A 27,999-nucleotide genomic window follows, 5' to 3' on the forward strand; every position below is an offset into this window, starting at 1 on the left:
CTGGTTACACTTCAATTTGAGCTCACAATAAATTTATTTTTAACATAAATAAACATTAAGAATTTAAATTTAAATGTATTGTAGATGATAAATTTGTACAGAACAGTCAAAAGTAAGATATGGTACTGACAGAAAAAAGAAAAGTAAATATTGTTCTTTGATTGTAAAGCTACCAGGCCTGACCAAAACTTCATCCCTTTTTCAGTACATGTAAACAGCATTCCTTTTAGAAGTATCTGTGATTGACTAAACTGGCATGAAAACTATTATGTTACTGCATATACATATGTGTGTGTGTGTGTGTGTGTGTGTGTGTGTGTCTGTATGCAGAAACTTTAAACAAATACTAGCACTTGTAAGTTGACATTCTCTTACAGTTTTGTAGGACTTTATGAATGATTCATGATTTTGTGCCCACATATTTTTTATTATTAATATAACTTGATTATTTAATTATTATGTTACCTATTACTTTGACAATAAAAACAAAATAGGCCCATTTAGAGAAATGTCTTTTATGAAAATTTGAAATGGGTCATTGGATTCTTATTTACAGTGGTGTCATTTAAACTTACGTTTCAATCTTTTTAATTAAAAAGAAAGCAGCCCTATCTGCTATATGACAAATCAAGACAGTTATCAGCTTTGTATTTATTCTATCTCTATTTGATGCTAAAGGTAATGTGTTACTGACTCAAGTATCCCTTACAGTATTTCCTAATTTTTCTTCTAAAAGTATTTCAACCTCCTTGGTTTAGTCCGAGCTTCTTATCAAGGTATTCTATCAAACTCTTCATAAGCAGGCAAAAGCCTTTCTTTCCAGGCACAACAATAAATCTTTTATTGCAACAAATTTTCTGGCACGATGCAAAATATAAAAATTCGATATTTCCACCTTTTTCCTTCTTTCTGAAAGTGCCTCTCTTCAGTTGTCAAAAATAATTTCAAAGTCTCATTTTTAATATTCAAATATCCCAATCTCTGTGGTGACTTCCCTGAATATTATCTAACACATTGCTTGCTTAGAGTTCCCATGCTGAGAATCATTAGCTATGGAGTCATCATGTTCAGTTGTGCAGTTTGTACACTGCACAAAAGTAGCGAAGGGCAAGAAAGATAACATAAATCCAACCTGTATTCCATTCGCCAAGCCTGTATCCTGGCATCGGCCTGAATCCTCCAGGGGAAAAAAGGGGGAGGATGAGGTCACCTCTTTTATATTTCAAAATACCATCAGTTTTCTAAACCATTTAGTGATAGGACTATTTCTGTTTGGAGGAAGAGCTTGTTCTAATTGATGCACTCAGAGAGTAGTTCCTTCTAATTCACACTCAGTTCTTAGACTAGCTGCAACCCTCACTAACTATAGTATCTCATAGTTACCTCTATATACAACATTTTTCTTGGGCAAATTGTGACATGAGGAAAAACTAGATACTTATTGAACTGTAAATAAATATTTACCCAGTAACTACCCTAGAATCTAGCACATAGAAGATTCTCAGTAAGTGGCAGGTATTCAATGCATTATTCCTCCAGAGGACAAAACTGGGGAGAAGCTTGTATCAAATTTGAGATCCAGAAATGAAACTCTACTATCAGCATTCTTAGCATATTTAGTTGGTTATGATTTAAAATTACTTATCATTATTTTCAAATTGATTATTATATCAATTCATATAAATGGCTAGGATGCCTTTGAATTCAGAAAATATCTACTCCAAAATAAAATTGATTTGTTTTAATTATATATACAGAATTCATGGGATAAAATTTCCTTATTAATTTCTTCACAGGGAGGACAAATGCCTCATTAATTTTAAACATATCAATCTAAGAACACATCAAATAGAATAATGACTGACATTATCAGAAACATAATACACTGCATACCAAAATCAAATTGCTTGTTATTCACCCAGAACAAATACACACCTTTATTTGTGCTTTGTAAGCCTCAAGAGGAGAAATTCAATTGGTATTTAAACTAAAATGGAGGCTGAGAGATAGGCTAGGAGATATTATGTGGTGAGACTACCATTCTATTATTAACAATAATACCTTAATGTGTCATAGTAATGTGTACTATATATGTAAGGATCTCTCTTGTAAAAATACTCTTTTATATTAGGAAATTGTTTAATACAGATATGTCTTTATATCTAACTCCTAGTTTGAGTCAATACCAATGTAAAATGCAGTTCATACACTACAGATGGATTCTGCTTTATCTGAAAATGTGTAACTGTTTTCCCACTGTTGGTTTCTGTGATTTTGTCTGTGTTAATGGGGTTTTAACCATGACTGCACTTACTTATTCATTTCAATACTCACGAATCTTGAGCACCAAGGGAAATGTTAGGACATTAGCAAACAGAACCCATGGGGAATTTTTATGTATAGGGAAATCCACATTCGAATATTTTTAAGACTGTTAGCTGCAGCTTTGTTTATTAGAGAGAAAGTAAAAGGAATTAATGATGCTGACATACATTTCACTTCCCCTACTTTTCCAAACAAAACTTATAAAAGTCACTATGTTTATTATACCTGGTTCAATCCAGGTGTAAAATACGTCTTTACTCCAAAATTAGTTCAGATTTTTAGGTTTGAAGAAGGGAATGCCTTTTTTTTTTTGCTTAAGTCCATTTATTTATTAAGCAAAATTACTTGGAATCTATTATAACTGATACTGTGTTGTGTGCAATAGCACAAAGATTATTCAGACACACCTTGTGCCTCTTACAGGACACAAAGCTGAGTAAAAATCAGCTTTAGAGTCCCTACTCTAAAGAGTTTACAGTCCAGTAGGGAAGACAGGCATATAAAAATAATTATCACAAATATTGTAAGCGGAGCAATCATAACATGCACAATATATTTCAGGACCTTGGAGAGCCTGGAAGCTTTAGGAAGGTCTTTCCAAGGAAAGTGGTGCTTGTGATTTCTCACTAACAGTTATACAAGTCAATGGGTGAGGAAGTAGCATGGAAGTCCATTTCATAGAATACGGCAATGAATTATCATTGGGGGAAAATGAGGCCAGAGAGGACACAGAGCTCACATCAGGAAGGGATCAGGTATTCAGCAGGTGACTGGCATGATCAATGTGTGAATGAATGGAGGGCAGACATGAAGGGGCACAAGACCAAAAGCAGAGAAACCAGTTGGAGGACTTGAGTAATTTGTTTAAGAGAGAGACAATGAGGGTCTGACCACGTTGGAGTGGTAAAGACAAAGAAGAGAACACATATGCAGGTCAATTATCTGGATGTTTTGGTTTATTGGAGTGAAAAAAAAGGAGGTGAGAAGATGGGAAAGGGAATAGATAATGAGAAAAATTGAACAGAAACTCAGTTATAGAAATGTCAATAGCTGACTATTTTAAACAATCTAGTCTGTTTAAAATAGTTTAAAATAGCTGTGCCTTACTCCCTCTGGGTGAATTATCCATTACAAACTGTGGACACTCGCTTTTGCCCTGTGACTTGTTTTAGCCAATGAAATGGGAACAGAAGTGAAATGGCCACTTCTAAGAAGAAATTTTAAGAAAAATTGCAAGGTTCTTCTGGGTTCTATTTTACCTCAAATATAATAAGATCAACAATGTCTCAGATAGGGGCTATTCCTTTAGCCAATGTTTCACATGAGGGCTCTGACTGAAGACAATGTATGGAGCACAGTCTTGCAGCAGAGCTGCTGCTGGCCCAAAATGCACATGTAGCATAAGAAAGAAAGAACCATTTGTGGTCATAAACCGTTGCCATTTGTGGGATGTTTATTTTTAAGCATCTTTTGTCTCATTAATTCAACAGCTAACCTAATATTAGTCTAAGAATAGGTAACTGCCTAAATAACTTATTGAGGTGTAAATGAGGTGAATTTGATGGGAGCTTCGAGTACATAAGTGGTGATAAAAGGAGCCAAATTGTAAATCATCATGAGACATATACAAAGTATAGTAGCTAATTTAACTCAAGTAACTGCAATAATTTTTTTTTTTTTTTTTTGCCTTGAATCCAAAGAGTAAGCTTAGGATCCAAAAAGAAAGGGTTTTATTTTCCGTTATAGCACTGGAGTTTAATGAGCAGCAGCAAAGTGGCTAAAGGACAGCAAAAACCTACAGTAGGTCTTCTGAGAAATGTTGAACTGTCTTAAAGAAGATTCTGCAACTTGGATAAAGGCAGAACACAAAGCCCAGGTGGATACCCATTAATGGTGAAAATATGCTTAAGTAATTTCATTTCAAGAGGCTGCACCTGCAATCCACTGAACATTTACATATATACATATATCCGAATATTCCCCAAAATACAACTAAAGATACTCTGGCATTTTTAAACTGCCAAATGGCAGAAGCTACATTGCAGTAAATGAAATGAGAGGTGTCCATAGAGAATGAATAAATGTAAAAATCATTGAATATACACTTGACCCTTGAAAACCAAAGGTTTGAACTGTGCAGGTCTATTTATATGTGGATTTTTTTTTCAACCTAACATGCATGGAAAATGAAATATTCATGGGATATGAAGCTAGCATATTTAGAAGGCTGACTTTTTCTATAGGTGGTTCCACAGGACAGAATTCTGTGGGATTTTAGTATGCGGGGAATTTGGTGATTAAGGGGTGGTCTTGGAATCAATCTGCCATGTGTACTCAGGGATTGTATCCTTTCAAGGACAGTTTCCACTTCTTTCTGCTTCATACTTCTGTGTAGTAGCAATAAACATTTATCCAAGATAGAATGGAGACTTTTTTGATATTTGAAAATTAATAAAATATATGTTACCTATACCTTTGCTTAGGAGGCTACCTGAAGATGGTGCTTTAAAAAAAAGAATTAAGTTTGCAACGAACATATGCATGCATGCATCTTTATAATAGAAAGATTTATATTCTTTTGGGTATATACCCAGTAATGGGATTGCTGGGTTGAATGGTATTTCTGTGTTAGGTCTTTGAGGAATCACCACACTGTCTTACACAATGGTTGAACTAATTTACACTTCCACCAACAATGTATAAGTGTTCCTTTTCCTCCACAGCCTCGTCAGCACCTATTATTTTTTGACTTTTTAAAAATAGCTATTCTGACAGGTGTGAGATGGTATCTCATTATGGTTTTGATTTGCCTTTCTCTAATCATCAGTGATGTTGAGCTTTTTTTCATATGATTGTTGGCTGCATGTATTTCCTCTTTTGCAAAGTGTCTATTGCACCATTATTCACAAAAGCAAAGACATGGAATCAACTTAAATACCCATTAATGATAGACTGGATAAAGAAAATGTGGTACACATACACCATGGAAAACTATGCAGCTATAAAAAAATGAAATCATTTCCTTTGCAGGAACATGGGTGGAGCCAGAGGCCATTATCCTTAGCAAACTAATGCAGGAACAACAACAAAAAATACTGCATACTCTCACTTGTAAGTGGGAGCAAAATAATGAGAACACATGGACACATAGAGGACAACAACAGATACACCCTATTAGAGGGTGGAAGGTGGGAGGAGAGAGTGGATCAGGAAAAATAACTAATGGGTACTAGACTTAATACCTGGGTGATGAAATAATCTATACAACAAACTCCCATGACACAAGTTCATCTATGTAACAAACCTGCACATGCGCCTTTGAACCTAAAATAAAAGTTAAAAAAAAAAAAAGAACTGGACTGAAAATGAGGAAGATGTGGAAGCCAGAAGAAAACAAAAATTAAAAACTATCCAGTAAAGCAGTGAGGGAAATGAATAGGAGCTATGTGACAGTACTATAGTGTTGGTTGTAGCAGAAGGGACTGAGAGCTTGGGAGGAAAGGGTTCTGGTTAGGATTTCTAACTTAGTAGAGAGATGTAAGAAAAATCACAGTATAGAATAAACACAAATAGGGTAAGGAAAAATAAAGGCAATTAAAATTAAGAAAAATACAAATAAGGAATTAAATTCATGATACATTACCTGGTTCTGCAAGCAAATAATATTTACATAGCAACAAAATATTAACATAGCTTACTTATTTTCTTTTTATAATTTTGAGAATTTAAAACATATATAGAAGTACAAATATAACAAACACACATTGCTGCACCACAAATTTTGCCGTATCTATCTCCAAGTGTTCTATTGTATGAAAAAAATTTTATGGAAGAAATTGAAATACTCATTGATCCTTATATTGCCTTTCCTCATTTTGAGAAACTGCTACTACCATAAATCTATGTATCTTTTGAAAGTTTATAGTTTATATAAATATTTGTTTATAGATTTTTAAAACTGTTACATACACATACTTATTCTTTACCAATGCAAGCTTTTCACCTTTAATGCTGTGTGTGTGCCTGTGTATGCATTTGAGTGAAAAGTCTTGCATTCTACAAGATGGCAGTCTGTGCAAATACCACTCCAAAAAAATAGGGCTTATGGGGAAAACAGACCTGGGAGAAACAACTGAAAATCCATACAACTTTATAATCAGAGCACCAACAAAAGCAATAATTTTAATTTAAAAAATTAGCTCAATTAAAAATATTCCCAGTTATTACTTTAAAATAAAAAGTAGCTTGATAAAAGAGGATGCAAGAGAAGTTTGAGGCTGCTGAGTTAAGAGAGACAAGGGCAAAATGAAAAAAAATGAACAAAGATTAGAAAATACTGCACCATCAGCTTTGCAAAGACAGAACAGGTGGCCAAATTAGGCCAAGAGAAGACCACAGAGAGGAAGAATATCAGAAAAAAGTACTACACTATATTGATTTCTATGTAGTTGGCTCTGGCTGTATTAGTAGACTTCGAATCAGCCACTGTCAAATGCTGGCACAAAATGTCAACATGTTGGGGGAAGCAGCACTAATGAATTGCTGCAACATACTGTTTTCTTAGTCACCAGTTATATATGTGCTAATTGGCATGACAAGAAACATGAATTGCAGCTGAACATACTACATACAGTATTATTATGTCTGTATGTCATTTGCATAAAAACATCACACTGCAAAATAACCACCACTCACTTCACTTACCTTTTTTGCTCAACAATATGTTCTTGAGATTTATTCACAGTCATAGATATATAGTTAATTCATTCCTTTCAACTACTGAGTATTATCCATTCATCTGAATTGTTCTGACAGTCTCTATTTTAATATGTGAATTTAAACTTCTGCATTTATAATTATAAATATATTTCTAATTATTTACAATAATTTGGCCTTTATTACACTCTTTCTGATCCCTTTTTTTAATTTTCCTGGATGTACATGATTTTGTTTTAACGGTTTAGTAATATGTATATAGTTTCTATTCTTTCATATTTGCTCCACTCTCTTCATGGTTTATAAATAATGTCTAAAATTAATCATTGCTCATCCCCTACCAGCAAAAGATAAGGAACCTTAACATAATGGAACTTTTCCTTAATCTCCTCTACACATTATTTCATTTTATTCTTATCTAGAATTTTCTATTCTAATCTAAATTTGTTCATATTACTACTGCATTTACTCTCACAGTAAGTAAATATTTAGGTTTGACATTTATTCTATTATTTTATTTGCAGGCTGTTGTTTTATGCTTTTTACCAAAATCATGTAGCTTTTTTTCAGGGATGGTCTATGGAAGTAAACTCCTACAGCCTTTGTATATCTTTATTTTACTGTCACTTCTGAATAATGATTTAATTGGGAATATAATTCTAGGTTGAGAGTCATTTTCCTTCAGCTCTTTCTTTTCATGTATGTATTTCTGTGGATGAGAAGCCTTCTGTCAACTTAATCTTCCTTCCTTTATAAGTTATCTTCATATTTACTTATTTCTTTTAAGATTTTCTTATCATTGATGTTACACAATTTCTTTCACTGTGTGTAAATTTATTATTTATCCTATTCAGATCTCAGTAAACATTTTCAATCTAGAGTTAAACATTTGTTTCTGGAAACAAGAAATTATTTCTTCAATTATTTATTTTCCCTCATCCTAAAAAGTACTTTTGAAAAATGCCTAGTAAGCATACATTTATCAGTCTCTTTTCTGATCTTAACTTCTCTTTCATATGTTGCATTTCTTTGTACTGTTTCTGTATGGTTTGCTTTGTTATACAATTAAATATACCATTTCTCTTTAAATAAGTGTAGTTTACCATTCATCTCTTATATTGGTCACCCTCTTGTCCTGTAAGCAAAGAGTATATTTTTTATTTCCCAGACTTATTTAATTTCCTTCACCCATCTGCAGACCCTTGTTTGGTAACTTTCTGTTATTGTTGCAGGGACATTTTATCTCTTTAAGAACTACATACATATTAATTCTAATGTCTTTTAAATATAGTTTCACCCTGCAACCTTTAATTATCATGTCTAGTTTCTATGCAGACTTTTGCATTATATATATATACACATAGACATACATATATATGTGTATATATACACAGACATACATATATGTGTGTGTATATATACACATACACATACATATATGTGTGTGTATATATACACATACACATACATATGTGTGTGTATATGTACACATACACATACATATATGTGTGTGTATATATACACACACACATACATATATATGTGTGTGTATATATATATACCTTTCATTTTGTCAGCAAGCTCAACATATTTGAGGCTTTATCATGAAAGTGTTTTCTGGTATGCAGTTTCCATTTGCCTGGGTCCATCTCTCCAGGTGGAACCAGTAATCATACATTGGTTGGTAATTCTGTGCCAGCATTGGCCAAGTTTCCCGTTCTAAATGGCTGCCTCTCTTTCTTCCTCAACTCTTGGGAGGTTGTGAGAACCTCCAGCCCTATTTCTTTTTTGACCAAGCTTTGAGTTTTTTTTCTCCTTATTCTTGAACTTAGTCTCTTCTTCTGATGGGCCATATGGTCACTTCTTATTTAAAATGGTATTTTTTTCTCTTTTTCTGGCTTGTTGAGATGATTCTCTTGGTTTTATGCACACCTGTGCATTTTGAACTGATATGTGCTTGTGTACGTATGTATGAGTATAAACATCTTTTTATGCATTCACAAGAGAGAGAGGGAGGATTAAGTTTCTTTTCACTCTGCTATCTTAAGAAAAAACTATAGTTAATTGATTTCTAACTTTTAATTTAGAAACCCCAACTTCTGGCACTTTCTACAAACCTCATTATTCTTTCTTTTGTTCACTCATTCCCCACTTAAAAAACAAAAGTCCTGAAGTTGAGAACATTGTTTACTGATGTCTACCTACCTTGTAAGAAAAAGTACTTAAACACACTTAGGTTCTCAAAAGCTGTGCCAAATGAAGAAATATATAAATTAAATCACCATAAACAAATTATGGTTATAAAGAATAATGTAAATGTCATCCACCCTGGCATTATAAAAGTATAAATCCAGAGACTGGGAAGAAAGGAGAGTCAAACAATAAGGAAAATAGCAGATGCATTAGTATCCTCATCATATAAATCAAGGATCAAAGCTGCTGGCTACAGTTAAAGGAGAGGGAAAATCACAAGTATAGTCCTTCATGTTGACAATTAATCAACAGAGGAAAAATTTTATATCATGGTATAGTGGTGGCATTAGGAGGATAGTAGATATTTCCCAAGTCAGCTAAGTTGTCTTCTATTATAATAAGAAGTTAATATATAAAAATCAAGAAAGTATATTATTAATAGAAATGGAGACAGCAACCTGAAGAAACAGTTCAAAGAAACTATTGCTTAGACTATAGCTCACAGTGCTTCAGGTGAATGCAACTAGTAATTGGAAGTAGTGAGACTATGGACTAACGCTTTCATTGTAAGCCCTTCGAAATACTTGATTCATTTTTAATATGTGCATATTTTATTTTGATAAAAATAAAGCAATGTTGTTAGATATAAGGATGGAGCAGGAGAGACTGTGGAAGAAAAACAAAATGAAAAAATAAAAGGAAGAAAGAGTCTGGAGTATCTGGTTTTGTATTCCTTTTTGTTTTGATTTTCATGGTTGATATTCATTTAAAAACCTGAACATTTTTATTTGTGATATGCAGGGTTAAGCAGCCTAATGATCATGAGGAAAACATCAACCAAGCAAGTATAGAAGTAAGCATCGTTTGCTCTTATAAGAAGGAGAGAAAATTCATGGAACGATTAAACAGTTAAAAAGCACAAAGAACACCATTATATTTTGTACATTAGTAGGCCAACAACAAAACAGTAATATTGATTCTTTCCCAACAGAAACCAAAGATCAATCTCTTGCCCTAGAATAAATAGATTTATTTCCAACAGAAAGTAAGAATTAATTCTTGCATACAACATTTTCTTGACGGGTAAACTATCCTTTATTTTCCTCAAGTCTCATGATCAATGGCTATAAATTTACTAAACGCAGAGGCAGAAGAAGTTTACTAAAAGCAGCTTTGAAGACGAAGAGAGATAACAAGCCTGTGAAGACTGCTCCTCTGACTCCCATACATCACACTAGAGAAGGAAACGTTGTGGTGACAACAGTCAACTAGAAGATGAACACTAAGGCCTGGTGATTCATCATCATCATCAATCCATTGGAAAAGTCTGTTCTGGAACTCTCTGGCTGTATTTGTTCTGATTCATCTAAATACCGAGGTGGTAGGTATTCACTGTAATCATCTTCAAAATTGATTTCATTATTGAAAGCTTTAGCAGTATCGTGAATATTTAATGACACTAGAGAAAAAAATAGGCTTTAAAATATATCTCAAAATTGCCAATGAAAATGCTCAGATTGCAAACAACAGTTTCTAAGGTGAAAAGTGTTATTGAATAAATGCAGAGACAGCTGTTTTCGGAAAATGACATTTTCGCCATTCCCGAGTGAGACATGTTCTTACACATCACAATATTAATAGTCACGTTGTGTTACTTGATTTAGTGCAACATAATACAGTGTGACTAATGCAGGCCGATGGTACAGATTCATGTAAGAGGAAAATCCATCACCTAGGAAATGTGGAACAAAGATTCACTTTTCTGAAAACAAAGGTTAAATAAATCAAAGTTTTCTGAAGAAGGAAAAGTCATGCAAAAGAGAGTTTTATTCCAAAACTCATTTCAATCACCTTTGCAGTGATCCCTGGATACATTAGAGAAGGGAATAGGCATCAAACATGAAAGCCTTTAAGCTGTTTGAACTAAGCTGTACTTAGTGCTTCTACAATATTTTCCTCTGTAGTACCGATCTTCTAAAGCAATAGCTCCTTCACCAATCTTACCATGCATTGCCCAGATGACTGCTACACATGCCCAGCTGACAAAGTGTAGTGTCCTTTCTCCATCAGCATCTCTAAAAATATACTAGGCTATTGAGGAGATAACACAAAACCACTTTTAAAGTCCACCTTTTACGGCCTACTAAAGAGATAGAAATATGGAGGGAAAAAGGGTCACTACAAGCCTATGGTTGCTTTTTGGTTATGTTTATTTATCTGTATTCTTTCCTTGTCAAGAATATATATGCATCCTTTTCTATCTAATAATATGCATTGGACAGGTAACAATATACAAAAATTGGACCTCTCAGTAAATATTTTGAAACAGGAAGGATTTTTATTTTACTTCTCAGGAAGCTGCATTAAGAAATGTAAGAGGAAAATGTCCTGCATGGGTATTTGGACTTTACTATCAGCACCAAAGTCGTTATATTCTAACAAAATGAGGTCATTTTAATATCGTCACTTCAGGTATTGCTCAATGAATGTCTTCTTTATTTCCTTTATCTCAACGCTGCAATATTGCCAATTAACTCAGAGAATATTTTAAGTCCAAATGCTAAGTGTTAGAAGCTTTTAAAATTTTTTCCTAATTAGACTATATGCCCTTAAGCTTATTTTTCACAATTATTGAGCATTTACTTTTTTGCTTATTACTTTATACATATTATGCTATTTGACGCAGCAAGACTGAAAGATGTGTACTATTATTTCAGTTTTCCATATGAAGAGGTCTGGTAGAGTTGGTATTTTAGTACAAATTTGTCTGGCTTCAAAAATACACTTTTGCATCACCTACAATAGAGTGCTTCCAACATTAGAAATATTCAATAAATAGTCATAGACTTTAAAAGTTGAAAGCGACTAAGGTCTTCATTTACTTCAATGCCCAAACAAGCTACAAAACATCTATATAACATTTTGACAACTGGTGATCCAGGCACAGTGGAGGATTTCATTGTCAGAATCTTATTTATTCAAGGTTATCTGTACTACTTACTGGTGGGCAATTCTAACCAACAGAAAGTTCTTCAAACTAAACAGAATTAAGCCTCCCCAGACAATGTCTAATGACATTTGCAAGTTAAGTTCAATGCAGTCACTGAGAGTAAACTAATTTATTTATATATATATATATATATTTATTTATTTATTTATTTATTTATTTTTGAGAAGGAGTCTCACTCTGTCACCCAGACTAGAGTGCAGTGGCACGATCTCAGCTCACTGCAACCTCCACCTCCCGGGTTCAAGTGATTCTCCTGCCTCAGCGAGCCAGGTAGCTGGAATTACAGGTGCACACCACCACGACTGGCTAATTTTTGTATTTTTAATAGAAATAGGGTTTCGCCATGTTGGCCAGGCTCATCTCGATCTCCTGACCTCAAGTGATCTGCCTGCCTCGGCCTCCCAAAGTGCTGGGATTACAGGTGAGAACCACCGCACCCAGCCAGATAGTAAATTAATTTAAACAAGCACTGCCTGTGCTAGATAGATTGTTACACTGGCAGCTTCTAATGAACCACAGCTCCCAGTATTCACGTTCTTGTATAGTCTCCTCTCACACAAAATCTCAGCTTGGTCATGTTACTTGATTTAGCCAAAGGATTAGTGACAAGCATGATGCAACTGGAGGGTTAGCAAATTGAGGCTTATTCTCTTGGAAGCCAGGGGCCATGGTGTAAAGAACCTGAGCTCGTCACTGAATGAAGAGAGGTCATGTAGCAAGACACCTTGGAGGATAAGAGGTAGTCTTGGACACTGTAGCCTTAGCCAAACTCCCAGCTGATTGCAGCCTTATGAGCGATCACAGCTGTATCATGAGAAATAATTTGTTTTCATTTGTCACTACTAAGTTTGAAGATGGTTTTTTACACAGCAATAGATAATTGGTACACTGCCTTTAAAGGCTCTTACATCTATTAAAGGAGAGATATCTGCAAGTAACTAAAACACACATACATGAAAGAACAAAAACATATATATTATGACAATAAAATTAGCTTTGCCTTTATCAAGGCATCTATCCCAACTTCTGTCATGAGAAGATTTTCAGATCTTTTGACTCCCTTAGATGGTGTACCCAGAGTGTGTTATTGTATCAGTTGCATATATAAGTGGTTCATTTAATAAAATGATCTTGTTAAAGAGAATGTTGATGCTAATAAGAGTATCTATCACTTCTTGAATACTTATTAGGTACCAGGCAGATTTATTTAAATTCCTTTAATAGCTTCCTATCCATGTACTATTATTTTGTCTAGATTTTAGTTCCAAAAACTGGGGCACAGAGTTATTTTGTGAGTTTGCACAAGATTATATAGCTATGATTGGCAACCACAAATTCAAACCTAGGTACATCTGGCACTGAAATTTGTATCTTTATCCACTATATTCTCCACAGATCCACCTCAGGTAGTACTTTGAGGATACACAGTGAAGTAACCTCAAAACATATACATAAGTAAAATGAATTGTCCTCTGTGAGTTAAAATATGAAATCAATACCTAACGTATGATATAAAAAGTAAGCAAAGATATATTAAGGAGACAAGATGAATTTCAGGCTTGAGCAAAATATGGTTGATAATTAATGTCATTAAATACACCTAAGGACAGAGTGGAAGCGATTTAAAGAACAGACATATTTAGAAACTGAAAAAGAGGTGTCAAAGAAAAGCAGTGGCAGAGGTAATTTAGAAACTATTCCAGGGGAAGGTATCCTGACAGCTGTATGTTCAATTGATGTTGTAGGTATTTTTCCATGGGGAGATTGATTCATAAGGTGAAACAGAATGATTCAAATATTGATTTGATCCATTCAGCTAATTTTCTTTGTTCTTCAGACACCGTTCTGATTATAATTTGACTTTTCATGACCCATGGCAGATCTGTAATTTGGTGTCCCAGTTTCTGTACTTCAGTCTAATTAAATCTAAAACACTAAGATAACCTTGGCTGACTCCATCAAGGTGATATTGCGCTGTGGTCTCTGGGTATTCAGCCAGTCTTGCCATAGAAATTTGACCTCTTTAAATGTCAAATTTGTCTTTAAATTAAAAGGTATTAGTCTAGTCAGTGCTTGTCTCATCTATACCCACATTTGAGGAAATCTCTAGCCACTGCCCCTGTTGAATGAGCAGGGAACTACATACCCCTAGCCTTATTCCTTGCTGAATGAAATGAGGTTGCACAAATCACCTACATATAATAAAGTATGATATAGAGAGGAAGTGTCTGGGCTCTAACAGCTAGCTACCTCTGGGATTCAAATACGAGCTCTGCACAAAGTAGTTGTGAATTTTTTTTTTTCACTTTATTGCCATTTGCAGATACTGTGCTGTTTTGTTCTGGTTTTACAAATTGAATGTTTGTGGTGAACCTGCATCAAGCAAGTCCATTGGCATGATCTTCCCAGAAGTATGTGCTCACTTCGTGTTTCTGAGTTACATATTGGTAATCCTCATAATATTTAAAATGTTTTTATCATTATTATATTTGTTATGGTGATCTGTGATCAGTGGTCTTTTTTCATTTATGAATCATTTATCACATACTGTTTTCTCTTTTTTTAACTTTTATTTGAGGTTCAGGTATACATGTGCAGGTTTGTTATATAAATTGCCTGTTGCATGGTTTTGGTGTACAGATCATTTCATCATTCAGATAATAAGCATAGTATCAGATAAGTAGTTTTTCAGTCTTCAACCCCCTACCACCCTCCAACTTTAAGTAGACACTGGTGTCTGTTATTCCTTTCTTTGTGTCTATACATTCTCATTGTTTAGCTCCTACTTATAAATGAGGACAGGCAGTATTTGGTTTTCTGATCCTGTGTTAGTTTGCCTAGGATAATTGCCTCCAGCTCCATCCATGTTGCAGAAAGGGACATGATTTCATTATTTTTTAGGGCTGCGTAATATACCATGGTGTATATGTACCACAATTATTTTTTCCAGCCTACCATTAATTGGCATTTATGGCCTTTGCTGTTGTGAAGGGTGCTCAATGAACATGCATAGTCATGTGTCTTTATGGTAGAATGATTTATATTCCTTTAGGTGTATACCCAATAATGGGATTGCTGGGTAGAGTATTAATTGTTTTAAGTTCTTTGAGAAATCACCACAGTAATCTTGTGTGATCAGTGACTGAACTAATGACCAAGCTAATTTACATGCCCACAACGACTGAACTAAATTACATTCTCACCAGCAGTGTATAAGCACTCCCTTTTTTGCTGCAACCTCACCAGCATCTGTTGTTTTTGACTTTTTTAATAATAGCCATTCTGACTGGTGTGATATAGTATCTCATTGGGATTTTGATTTCCATTTCTTTAATAATTAGTGATATAGAGCATTTTTTCATACATGTTGGCCATGTATATGTCTTCTTTTGAAAACTGTCTGTTCTTCTCCTTTGCCCACTTTTTCATGGAGTTGTTTTTTTGTTCACTTATTAATTTGTTTAAGTTCCTCATAGATCCTGTATATTAGACCTTTGTTGGATGCATTCATTTGCAAACATTTTCTCCCATACTGTAGGGTGTCTGTTTACTCTGTTGATGGTTTCTTTTACTGTGCAGAATTTGTTAGTCCCATTTATCAATTTTTTGTTTTGTTGCAATTGTTTTTGGAGTCTTCATCATGAAATCTTTGCCAGGGCCTATGCCCAGAATGGTATTTCCTAGGTTATCTTACCAGTTTTTATAGTTCAAGGTTTTATATTTAAGTCTTACATCCATCTTGAATTGATTTTTGTATATGGTATAAGGAAGAGGTCCAGTTTCAATCTTCCGCATATTGCTAGCCAGTTATCCTAGCACCATATATTGAATAGGGAATTTTTCCCCATTGCTTGCTTTTGTTGACTTTGTCAAAGATCAGATGGTGGTAGATGTGTGGCTTTATTTCTGGACTCTTTATTCTTTTCTATTTTTCTATATGTCTGTTTGTATACCAGTACCATGCTGTTTTGGTTACTGTAGCCTTATAATACAATTTGAAGTCAGGAACGTGATACCTCCAGCTTTGTTCTTTTTGCTTAGGATTGCCTTGTCTATTTGGGCTCTTTTTGGCTCCACATGATTTTTAAGCAGTTTTATCTAATTTTGTGAAGAATGTCATTGGCAGTGCGATAGGAATAGCATTGAATCTATAAATTGCTTTGGACAGTACGGCCATTTTAACAATATTGTTTCTTCCAATCCATGAGCATGAAATGTTTTTTCATTTGTCATTCTGATTTCTGTGAGCAGTGTTTTGTAATTTGTTATAGAGATCTTTCACCTCCCTGGTTAGCTGTATTCCTAGGTGTTTCATCTTTCTGTGACTTATTTTAAATGGGATTGCATTATTGATTTGGCTCTCAGCTTGGAACTCATTGGTGTATAGGAATGCTACTGATTTTTGTACATTGGCTTTGTATCCTGAAACTTTGCTGAAGTTGTAAGTCATCAGATTCTCCAAGGTTGAAATGAAATTAAAAAATGTTAAAGGGAGCTAGAAAGAAGAGGCAGATCATGTACAAAGGTAACCCCATCGGGCTAACAGTGGACCTTTCAGCAGAAACCCTAAAAGGGGGGGGGTCTATATTCAGCATTCTTAAACAAAAGAAATTTCAGCCAAAATTTTCATATCCAGTTGTGAATTTTTTATTTTCTTTATTTATTTATTTATTTTGAGACAGTCTCACTCTGTTACCCAAGCTGAAGTGCAGTGGTATGATCTCAGCTCACTCCTGACCTCAAGTGATCTGCCCACCTCAGCCTTCCAAAGTGTGGGATTACAGGTATCAGCCACTGCTGCCAGCCCCAGTTGTGAATTTCTACAAGTCACTAAACCATGCCCTAGTTTTCATGTCTACAAAACAGAAGTAATAACAGAATGCCTAGCACAAAGAACTGTAAACTTTAAATGAGTCAATACACATAAAACATTTAGAATAGTGCATGGCAGGTACTAAGCACTCAATGTTAGTAGTGATTATAGTGATGATGATGATGACGTTGATAATGATGGTATCTGGTTCATCTTGCTCAAAAAGATGAACTGAGCTGTAAAGAATATGTCTTTTATCATTTACAAAAGAGACATAGAAAAGATCCACCAGTTTCTGATCTGAACTGTCAAGCTTACTGTTTCATGAGTAGAATGAGAAAGCAGACAAAGGTGGTCAAGGAGATGAAAATAAATCACACAAATAGAGACAAGCAAAACTGAAAGAAACCATGAAACTCCTGAAGCATGAATAAAGTATCCTTCATTCCAGATTTTCAGTTTTTGGTTAGTTCTAGTGCTTCTGACGTAAAACTTAATTTGTTTCTTGTTATTAGATGATTATGAAATTGCCACTTGTGTCCTTACTGTACACAATGCCCTTCTCCCCACAGCCATTTAGCTGGCTTTCTCATTCTTGCATCTGCAAAATGTACTTTTTGAAATGTGTATCATTGAATTTTTTTTAGCTACTCCAGTCTTTTCCATCCTGTTCTGCTTCTCTTGGCATTCATCATTTGAATCTGCCAAATCAGTAATGTGAACAGTGTTATAATTGGAAATATAAAATGATCTGAAATCCATAGGAAATTAGATTGAAGTGAATATAGGAAATACAATCACCTCCCAGACACAGAATGGATTTTTAAGGGCTCAGTAAGATATGCCCCAACCCCCACCAGGACCTAAACCAGAAGCATTTAATTGCTTAGGGTTATCATTTCATTAACACAAATTCTTGACATTCATATCCAACAGCTGATCCTCAGCTTTCTGTTTATTTCTCTCTTTTTGTCGGCTCCTGTCTGTTCTCTGCGTCTCCGTCTTATCTCCTTTGTTTTTGTTTTTCCTTAGCTTCCGTCAAAGCTATCACTTCTAAAGCACTGAATTTTAAGCTCCCTCCTCAAATCTCTAAGGAGTCTGTGCACACTTTCTGAAAAAAAAAATAAACTGTATATCATACAGCTTAGACTCTAATGGTTAAAATTTTATTAATGGGAGCAGATTGACGGTATATTGGCACTTTAATTAAAGAGGGTTATGGAATGGCATTTTAAATAGCAACGCCATTTTCTAAATTGACATAGCTCCATTATAAGGAAAAATTATTAAATTGAACCTCAAGTCAAACAGTTTCTCTTCCAGTAAGATAGGACATTTTAGTGTAAATTTTTAATCTGCTAACAAAATATTCACTACAAAATAAAAGGATTTTCCCTATTTTATTATTTTTGCCTCGAATCTTAATACTAGAGAGGCTCTAAAATTAGTTCCAGATACTTCAAAAAATAAATTCTAAGTGCTGCATGACTTAGAAGGAAGCAGAAATACATTTCTGGACAAATCTAGTGGAATAGCTACAAACTACATGTTTCTAAAAATAGTTGTTTCCATTTCTCTTGACAGATACATCATACCTTTCCTATGATCTCTCTTGCATCTTAGAAAGGAGCCTCGGGTCATTGAATCTTAGCACTAGAGAAAATTGCTTGAGATTTACTTAGAGTCAAACGATTTGGTCTGGTAAAGTTAGACCCACAGTGCTGGCCTTTAGTTAACAATCTGAGGCATTTTTCAACCATACCTTGCATTATTTGCAAATCAGCTCCAATATCTTATACTACTCATACAAAGTTCTTGACTCAAAAATCTTAGGATGTGGAAGTTTCATTATGATTTTGGCAAGGACATTATGCTATTTTTAAGATAATGAAAAAATCCTCTCCTTTGTCATTTTTAAGATTGGTGTCCTAAAACAAATCTAGGAACATATTTTTTACAGAAAACTTTTGAATTTTGGGTTTATTGAAAAAAATAATTTTGTTTTGCTTGGTTTTCAAATTATAAAACAATTCAAATATGTATACAATAGTAGAGAATAACATAATACATATATGTTTACTAAATATCCAGCTGTATTAAGTTTTAAGACTTCAGTATCTGTACTTCAGCTTATTTTTAAGATAAAACGCAGAGGTGAACCTTCTGTGTATTACTCTGATCCATTTCTCTCTTTCTCTGAAGTAGCTACTATCATACTTCTCTCATTTATCATTTTCATGAATATTTTATTTGTTTACTGAATGTTCATGTATCTACAGGAAATATATAGTGCTTATATGGTAATAAATATAATAATCTAAACATAAGCATGTTGAAACTTTCTTGCAACTTGTTTTATCTTGTTGGTAAGTGTAGCTCTAGTTCATTTGTATAAAAGACTGTCATTTCCCATTTCACAAACATGTTGCTGTTTATTTCTTCTACTATTGATAAACATTCTGATTGTCCTCAATTTTTTTACAAATGACTCTATAATGAATGTTTTTATCACACCTCCTTCTGCATTTGTGTGGATTTCTCTGTGGTATGTACTTAGTAAAATAATATTTAGGTTATTTGGGGTGTTTTCTCTTCAAAATGGCTATACCAATTTTAGACTCTATGTATACTTAGAGTCCATCAGAATGTACAGAAATTCTCATTTGTCTACATCTTCAACTACACATGCTATTCCCAGGTTTGTAATTATTTGTGCAACTAACATACATATATAATAGTTTGTTTATTTTAATTTTGATTTCCCTGATTACAATAGAGGGAGAATTACTGCATTAGTTTCTCTATTATAATAACTTACCATGAACTTAGTGTCTTAAAACAACAATGCAACTTTGTTCCCTCACACTTATAGAGGTCAAAAGTCTAAAATGGGTTAGCTAGGCTGCATTCCTTCTGGAAACCAGGACAACTTTGCCTTTTCAGCTTCTAGAGTTTGCCTGCATCCCTTGGCTCACAACTCCTTCTCCACATTCCTCCAACCTCTGGCTTTCATCATCACATACCCAACTACTTTCTTATCCTCTGCATCCCTCTTATATGGGGGCCTAGTGATTACATCGTACCCACTCAGATGATCCCAGGTCATCTTCCCATTTCATTATTCACTTTTATAGAGTCCCTTCTACCATGTAAGATAGCAGTTACAGGTTCCAGGAATTGGACGCAAACAGCTTTGGAGGGGGCCTTTATTTAGCCTACCAGAAATAGGATTGACAATTTGGAATTTCCTCTAAAAGACTTCATATTTATATCAATATACCTATTCTTTGCCTAAGTTGTCTTTTGCCTAGGTGATTTGTGAAAGATTTTGTTTTTGAGGGAAAATTTTATGAATAGTGTCAATTATAGACACTAAAAATGTCTTCTATTCTGTGATATGTGTTTTTACTTTTGGTTTTGTGCAATTTTAAATTTTTTACTGTTTTTAATTTTTATTCTTTGTGGGTACATAGTAGATGCGTATGTTTATGGGGTAGATGAGATATTTTGGTATAACCATGCAATGCATAATAATCACAACCTGGAAAATTTGATATTCATCCCCTCAAACATTTTTCCTTGTGTTAAAAACAATCTCATTGTACTTGTTTAGTTATTTTAAAAAAATGTAGAATTAAATTATTAAATATAGTCACATCTTTGTGCTATGAAATACTAGGTCTTATTTATTCTATTTTATTTTTGTACTTATTAACCATCCACACCTCCCCCACCTCCCCTGTACTCCCCTTCCCTGCCTCTGGTAATCATCCTTCTACTCTCACTCTTCATGAATTCAACTGTTTTCTATACTCATAGAGATACCACCTTAATGGTCCTGGATAAGATCCAGAAGAATTCTTTGGATGACCAGACAGTGACACTTGTTATTTTATCTTACTTTCTCCCAAACAAACAGAGTCTCTCTCTCTGTGTGCTAAGCCACCTGGAACTGAGGATGTGGTGATGCAAGCACCCCTGAGGCTGCCACGACTGGCACTGTGCTAGGTCAGACCTGAAGCTAGCACAACAGTAAGCCTTGTCCAAGGCCCTTCCCTTCAGGGCGGCAAGCTCCCCCAGACCCTGGGAGTGTCCAGAGATGCTGTCTGGGACCCAGAGACTGCAGTAAAAAACATGAACAATTTACCTGATGTTCTATTCTAGTGTGGCTAACCTGGCACTCAAACCACAATACAAAGTCCTTTCTGCTCTTCCCTCCACTTCCTATAGGCAGAAAAGCCTCTTCCTGTGGCCCCCACCACCTCCAGTCCACAGTGAATTCTACCAGACCACCACCAACGTTCACATAAAGCCCGCGGACTCTTCCATCAGATTTTGGTGAATGCTGCCAAAACTGGGACTGACCCTTCAGGGCATTGGGCTGCTATTTGGCCCAGGGAAGGTCTGGAAATTTACCTAAGAGACCGGGCCTGGACTCAGGGACCCCAAAAGCCTGCTAATTTCTCTACCCTACTGTGGTCAAGCTGGTACCAAAGGTGCAAGAAAAAGTCCCCTTTACTTTTCCTTCCACTTTTCTCCAACAGAAAGAGTCTTTGACCATACCCAGCACAACTGGGATTGTGCTGGGTCACCCTAAACCCAGCAGATGTAAGAGCCCAAGGCCCACAGTGTACTCCCTGGGAATTGCTGCTGGTTTTTCAGGGCCAAAGCGCTCTTCAGTCAGCAGGTGATGACTCCTGTTAGAACTGGTTCCTTCCCTTCAAGGCAGTGGGCCAGGATGTATGTAGAAATGTGTAGTCTGGAAGCTAGGGCCTCACCAATCTGCCTGGTGCCCTATACTACTGTGGCTGAGCTGACATCCAAGATGTAAGACAAAGTTCTCTTTACTCTTTGCTCTCCTCTTTTTAAGCAGTGGGAAGGAGTCACTTTCATTTCTGTGAGCTGCACTGCCTTGGGTTGTGGGAGGGATGGCACAAGCACTCCCTTAGCTATCCCCAGCTGGTAACTTCCTAGGTCACATGCCACCCTAGTCAACTGGCTCTGAGCCCAGCCCAACACTAGGAGTTGCCTAGGAATTGCAGGTTTTGTGTCCTACACTGGCTTTCAAGTTTACTTTGGACCCCAGAGCTCTTTAGCCCATAGTGGCAAGGCTTGCCAAGAAATCAAGTTCTGACTGCTGGGACTGGCAATTCCTCTCTGACTAGAGCTCGTGTTACTGCTTCCTCCATGTGTGGATGCTGACTGAGCCCAGGACAGCATTATTCTCCTCTGTGACCAGGGAAGCACTGAGTTCAATATAAAGACCCCCAGAAGCTGGGCCCTGCCTCCCCAAAATGCACAGATTCTCTTTCTGTGCTGCACAGCTGCTGCCAGGGTATGGGGGAGGGGTGGCATCAGTAATTCAAAACTGTCTCTCCTGCCCTCCTCAATGCCTCTTTTAAGGATATGAAGTTAAAACAAGATGCTGTGGTTGCTCACTTGGTTTTTGGCTCTAGTGATAGTGTCTCTCTTTGTGCAGATATTGTTAAAATTTGATGTTCCAGTTGGGTAGATAAATGGTGTAGGCTTCTATTCTACCACCTTGCTTTGCCCTCCCCCGCAGTTTTTAATTTTATTCACTACCCCCTAGTTATTAATTTTATAGTCACCTTCTCCTTAAGAGTATGTTCCTTTCTTATTTTTAAAAATTAGTCACACCCCTTTAAAGGTTTTAATGTTCTAGTTTCACATTTGTATTCATCCGTTCTCATGCCGCTAATAAAGGCATACCCAAGACTGGGTAATTTATGAAGAAAAGGAGGTTTAATGGACTTAGTTCCACTTGGCTGGGGAGGCCTCACAATCATGGCAGAAGGTGAAGGAGGAGCAAAGCCTTACATGGTGACAGACAAGAGAGCATGTGCAGGAGAACTCTCCTTTATAAAACCATCAGATCTTGTAAGACTTATTTACTATCACGAGAACAACATGGGAAAGACCCACCCTTATGATTCAATTACCTCCCACCGGGTCCCTCCCATGACACGTGAGAATTATAGGAGTTACAATTCAAGATGAGATTTAGGTGGGGACACAGCCAAACCATATCAACATTTAAGTCTTTACTGTTCCTAAATTAATTTTTCTGTATAATATGAATGAGAGTAATTTTTTTCCATTTGAATAAATTGTTCCAGCATTATTTATGGAATAATCCAGTCTTACACAGATAACAATGCTGCTTGATTTACATATATTCATAAAATTCCATACTGTTCCCAATGGTCTGTTTGTCTTTTCCTGCATTGAGAATACAGTATCTTAATCATTGCAGCTTTAAACTCATTCTTGACCTCCAGTAGAACAACTCCTTCCACCTCATTATTCAAAATTGTGCTGACTCTTCTTGGTTCTTTCTTCACTCTTTCATATAAAGTTAGATGTCAGCTTCCTGGTTCCTTAAAAATTCCTGTTGGATTTTATTTTATTTATTTATTTATTTATTTATTTTTTTTGAGACAGAGTCTTGCTCTGTCACCAGGCTGAAGTGCAGTGGCGTGATCTCAGCTCACTGCAACCTCCGCCTCCCAGGTTCAAGCAATTCCCCTGCCTCAGCCTCCCAAGTAGCTGGGATTACAGGCACACACCACCACGCCTGGCTAATTTTTAGTATTTTAGTAGAGACAGGGTTTCACCATGTCGGCCAAGATGGTCTCGATCTCCTGACCTCGTGATCCACCCGCCTCGGCCTCCCAAAGTGCTGCGATTACAGGCGTGAGCCACAGTGCCCGGCCTCTGTTGGAATTTTAACTGGGATTGCATTGAATTTATAGACAATTTTGAGGAAGTATCAACATCACTCTGTTATTGTAACTTAATTCATGAACACTCTCTCTACATATACATACACACACTGGTTGTTTTTTTCTTTTTATATTTTCAATGTTTTATAATTTTCTCCAGAATGATTTTGCTGCTTTTGTTTGTTTGTTTGTTTGAGACAGAGTCTCAAACCGCTCTGTCGCCCAGGTTGGAGTGCAGTGGTGTGATCTCTGCTCACTGCAGGCTTCACCTCCCGGGTTGACGCAATTCTCCTGCCTCAGCCTCCCGAGTAGCTGGCACTACAGGCGCCTGCCACCATGCCCGGCTAATTTTTTGTATTTTCAGTAGAGATGGGGTTTCACCGTGTTAGCCAGGATAGTCTCAATCTCCTGACCTCATGATCCACCCACCTCGGCCTCCCAAAGTGCTGGGATTACAGGCTGCCCCTCTTTAATTAAAAATAAGAGGTAACATTGTTTTTGTTCCATTGAGACTGGAATTTTTATTTTCTGTTTACTTTTTCTTATTATTATTGGTGCCTGAAAAACCCTTTTAATAATTTGTCCATAGATGCTATTTTAAGTTCTACATAGATAAGCATGTCTTCAAATAGTTATTGTTTTCTTTCCAATTCTTACCTCTCATATCTTTTCTTGACTCTACTAAGGACTTCATAGTTTTTAACTGTAAGCACAATCTCATCATCTTCCTGACTCTAAGGAAACCTCTAAAATTTAATAATCGATTGGTATTGTTTGCCAAGTTCCCTTTTTCTTTTTTATTTATTTTTTGTTCTTTTTTATTTTTCTAGTTCCCTTTTTCTTTTTTTTTTTTTTTTTCAGAAAACTAACTTTAAGATTTATTTTTCTAACTTTTTTTCAAGAGGGAAAACAACACACTCCTTGGGGAAAGGTGAGGGGTTGAAAAGACAGGCCCTGGGTAAAAATTCTTATGCCAGCACCTGGAGTTGACAGGCCTGCCTAGGAGAGAACACAGGCACTGCCACACCACCACAGGGAACAGCTGCTGTCTGGGGTCAGCAGACCAGTTCACACGCCACACAAGGTTGCTATAGATCCAAGTCATAAAAATCTTCCAGCTCCTCATGAAACAAGTCGCTCTCATCTTCAGAGTCTGTTAGTTCATCGTCCCCAACTGCAGCCAAAAGCATAAGCAACAACTCACCCAGCTCAAAGGTGACAACCTCTTCTTCATCGTTGTCAAAGGGGCTGCTGTTCTCTCTTTCCTCAATGAGTTCCCAGAAGTGGTTCCTTCATTGGGCCGGGTATCTGCTTGATGTTCCCACCTTCTGTCTCTGTGGCTCCTCTCTACGGCCATCAGGGTACACATGCTTATAAAAACCGTTCCCTCCAAACGGGCAGCTCCCATGTCCTTCATCAAAATACCTGCACGCCTTGTTGCTCATTGCCTCCTTGTATTTCAGAATGAGTTTCTGCTTCTCTTCTTTCTCCTCCACACAGTACTCACTTGGAACGACAAAGTTAGATGTGATCCGACATTCTGGGCAGGACTTTATGATCTTGCTCTCAAACTGCTTAGCACTCCTCCACTTGCGAATGCACTTAAGACAGTAGGTGTGGTTGCAGTTGGAGAGGATCCCGAAGCGGTGCTGTCTGGGGTTGGCTTTCTCATAGATCATCTCCATGCAGCTCTCACACACCATTTCCTCGCTGCGCTGCACAGCAAATGAGAGCTCCCTGTCTTTCTCATGGGCCTCAAAGCATGATTTTATATGCTGTGATCTCTGGGCAGCATCCATCAGATGCAGGACCTGCAGCCACACATGTCACACGAATCTCCATATACACACAAGTTCTCCCGATATCGGCACTCTCCCACTGCAGCATAGGGGCACAGCTGCTTCTTTGTTTCCACGGCAGTTTGCTCTTTCTCTGATTCTTCCTTGGTCACTGAGCCCTGCAGGGGTGCTTCAGTGCAGGAAGGCGCAGTGCGGCCACAGTAGGGTTGCCCAGGAACAAACTCAACAGCATTCACCCAGCCCTCTGAACCTGCTCCTACAGTTACAAAGTTTGAATTTCTTGACTCAGCTTCACCCGTATTCATTTCAACAAGTGGTCCGACTATCCATGAGAGACTTGAGGAAGCAGCAAGGGATGACTTTGTAGTTAGCTCTGTAGCAGTTGCTTCTTTCTGTTTCAATGGCTTGCTATGTTCATATCTGCAGCAGTCTCCATAAATACAGTACCCTGGCTGCAAACTCTTGTACACTACATTATACGGACTGTCAGAGAGGTCATGCAACTTGCAACAGTTATCTCCTTCCTTATAAACCCCATGCATAAAATACCTGCAGGTGACCTGTTTAGTCCAGCTGCCGCCGCTGCCATCGCTGCCGCGGCCCCCTCGCCTGCCCCCTGGGGACAGAATGGTGACTGTGGGGATCCTGGTAGGGGAGGCCGCTGCTGCCGCCGCCGCCGCTGCCGCCACTGCCGCCCCTGATGTTGTGGCTGTTGGTCTGAGAGCTGCAGCCTCCGCCATTACTGTTTATCCCACACAGAAAAGGCCCCGGAACTTCCGGGATCACATAGTTCCGGTCCAGCTGCTGGGAGAGGACTGAGAGGCCCGGCGAAGGGAGGGGTAGGACACTGAGGCACCCGCTCAGTCCCTGCCTGCTCCACGTCTAGTTCCCCTTTGCTAAGTGCAAGTTTGCTAAAGGTTTTTATCCTGTATGGTAAACTTCATCAAATGCGTTTTCTGCATCCATCAAGATGTTTATTTCCTAATCTTCTTCAACCTATTAATGTAACATCTTTAACTATAACCCATCCATAAATTCCTAAGATAAACACCTACATAGTATGATCTATGTAGTATATTTCCTTTGAAAACTGCTGAATTCATTTGCCAATATTTTCTACAGAAATCATAGGAGAATTTAGTCTATAGTATTTTTTTCTGATCTGTATTTTATATGAAGATCACATTTGTCTACATTCTCTATTTTTAAAATATTTTTATATAAGATCAGGATTATCTGTTCTTAGAATGACTGGTAGAAAATATTTTGTAACACGGGTTCGTATTAAGATAGCTAGGAAGGATAGATGGATGATAGGCTTGAGCAGAGGGATTTTGATTAATAATTCATTTCTTCAATGTTTGATGATTTATTGACATTTCATGTATTCTTGAATCAATTTTTGTAATATTTTTCTACAAAATATCAATTTTACCTAGGTTTTCAAATGTTCGTACTATTCTCATTCTTTTTTAACCTGTACTATATCTGTAATTATATCCCTCTTCTTTGTGCTTCACAGTTTTATACCTCAATCTTTTTAATGGCTTATTAAAAATTTTTTTGTTTAGTTTTCCTTTTTATAGACTGCTTTTATAGAACAGTTTTTGTTCCTGTTTAACCCTATATTTCTGTTTTTTTTTGTTTTGCTAATCTCTACTCTCACTTTTATTGTTTCCTTTAAGCTACTTTCCTTAGGCTTATTCTATTGCTTTTCCCCAGCTTCTTAAATTGCATGTGTAACATATATCTTCACTCTTTCATGTCTTTTCTTTGCTGGAACTCATACATTTTGGCATATAGCAATTACCTTTAAGTTCAGTTCTAAATACTTTTAAATTTTCATTGAGATGTAAACAAAAAGCTGCTAAGAAGTGCAGTTTGTCCCCAAACATATAGTTTTGTTTGTTGTAAAATCGCATTTCATCAATAAATCCTGATTTCACTTTTTTTCTGATGAGAGTATGTGGAGAGTTATTTAAACATGTTTTACAAACTAATATGTAGTCAATTTTTGTAACTGTTGCATAGTACTTGGGAAGATATTTTTTACATGTGTTAGGTATATGTTCTAATAACTAACTGATATGGTTAGGCTTTGTGCCCCTACCCAAATCTCATCTTGAATTGTAATCCCATAATCCCCATAATACCCATGCGCGTGTCTAGGGAGAGACCAGGTGGAGGTAACTGAATCATGGAAGGCAGTTTCCCCCATGCTGTTCTCATGATATGAGTTCTCACAGATCTGATGGTTTTATAAGGGGCTCTTACCCTTTCGCATGGCACTTCTCCTTCCTGCTTCTTTGTGAAGAAGGTGCTTGCTTCCTCTTTGCCTTCCATGGCGATTGTAAGTTTCCTGAGGCCTCCCCAGCCTTGCTGAACTGTGAGTCAATTAAA

At 36.5% G+C, this 27,999-nt stretch overlaps 1 long non-coding RNA gene and 1 pseudogene across 2 annotated transcripts in view; one reads left to right on the forward strand and one right to left on the reverse strand.

The window, feature by feature from the left end:
• Window positions 1–10,582: 10,582 nt before the first annotated feature.
• The window catches only part of LINC02258 (long intergenic non-protein coding RNA 2258), a 36,938-nt gene continuing 19,521 nt past the window's right edge, over window positions 10,583–27,999 (forward strand). Inside the window, exons 1-2 of the long non-coding RNA NR_149056.1 lie at window positions 10,583–10,615; window positions 21,288–21,553. This is a non-coding gene — a long non-coding RNA (long intergenic non-protein coding RNA 2258). The remainder of the gene's footprint in view (window positions 10,616–21,287; window positions 21,554–27,999) is intronic.
• On the reverse strand, window positions 24,656–26,482 carry MKRN9P (makorin ring finger protein 9, pseudogene; annotated as a pseudogene). The gene has a single exon (NR_033410.1). The product of NR_033410.1 is annotated as a makorin ring finger protein 9, pseudogene (transcript).

Source organism: Homo sapiens, chromosome 12 (genome assembly GCF_000001405.40).
Source record: "Homo sapiens chromosome 12, GRCh38.p14 Primary Assembly".
In the NCBI taxonomy this organism is placed as follows: Eukaryota; Metazoa; Chordata; class Mammalia; order Primates; family Hominidae; genus Homo; species Homo sapiens.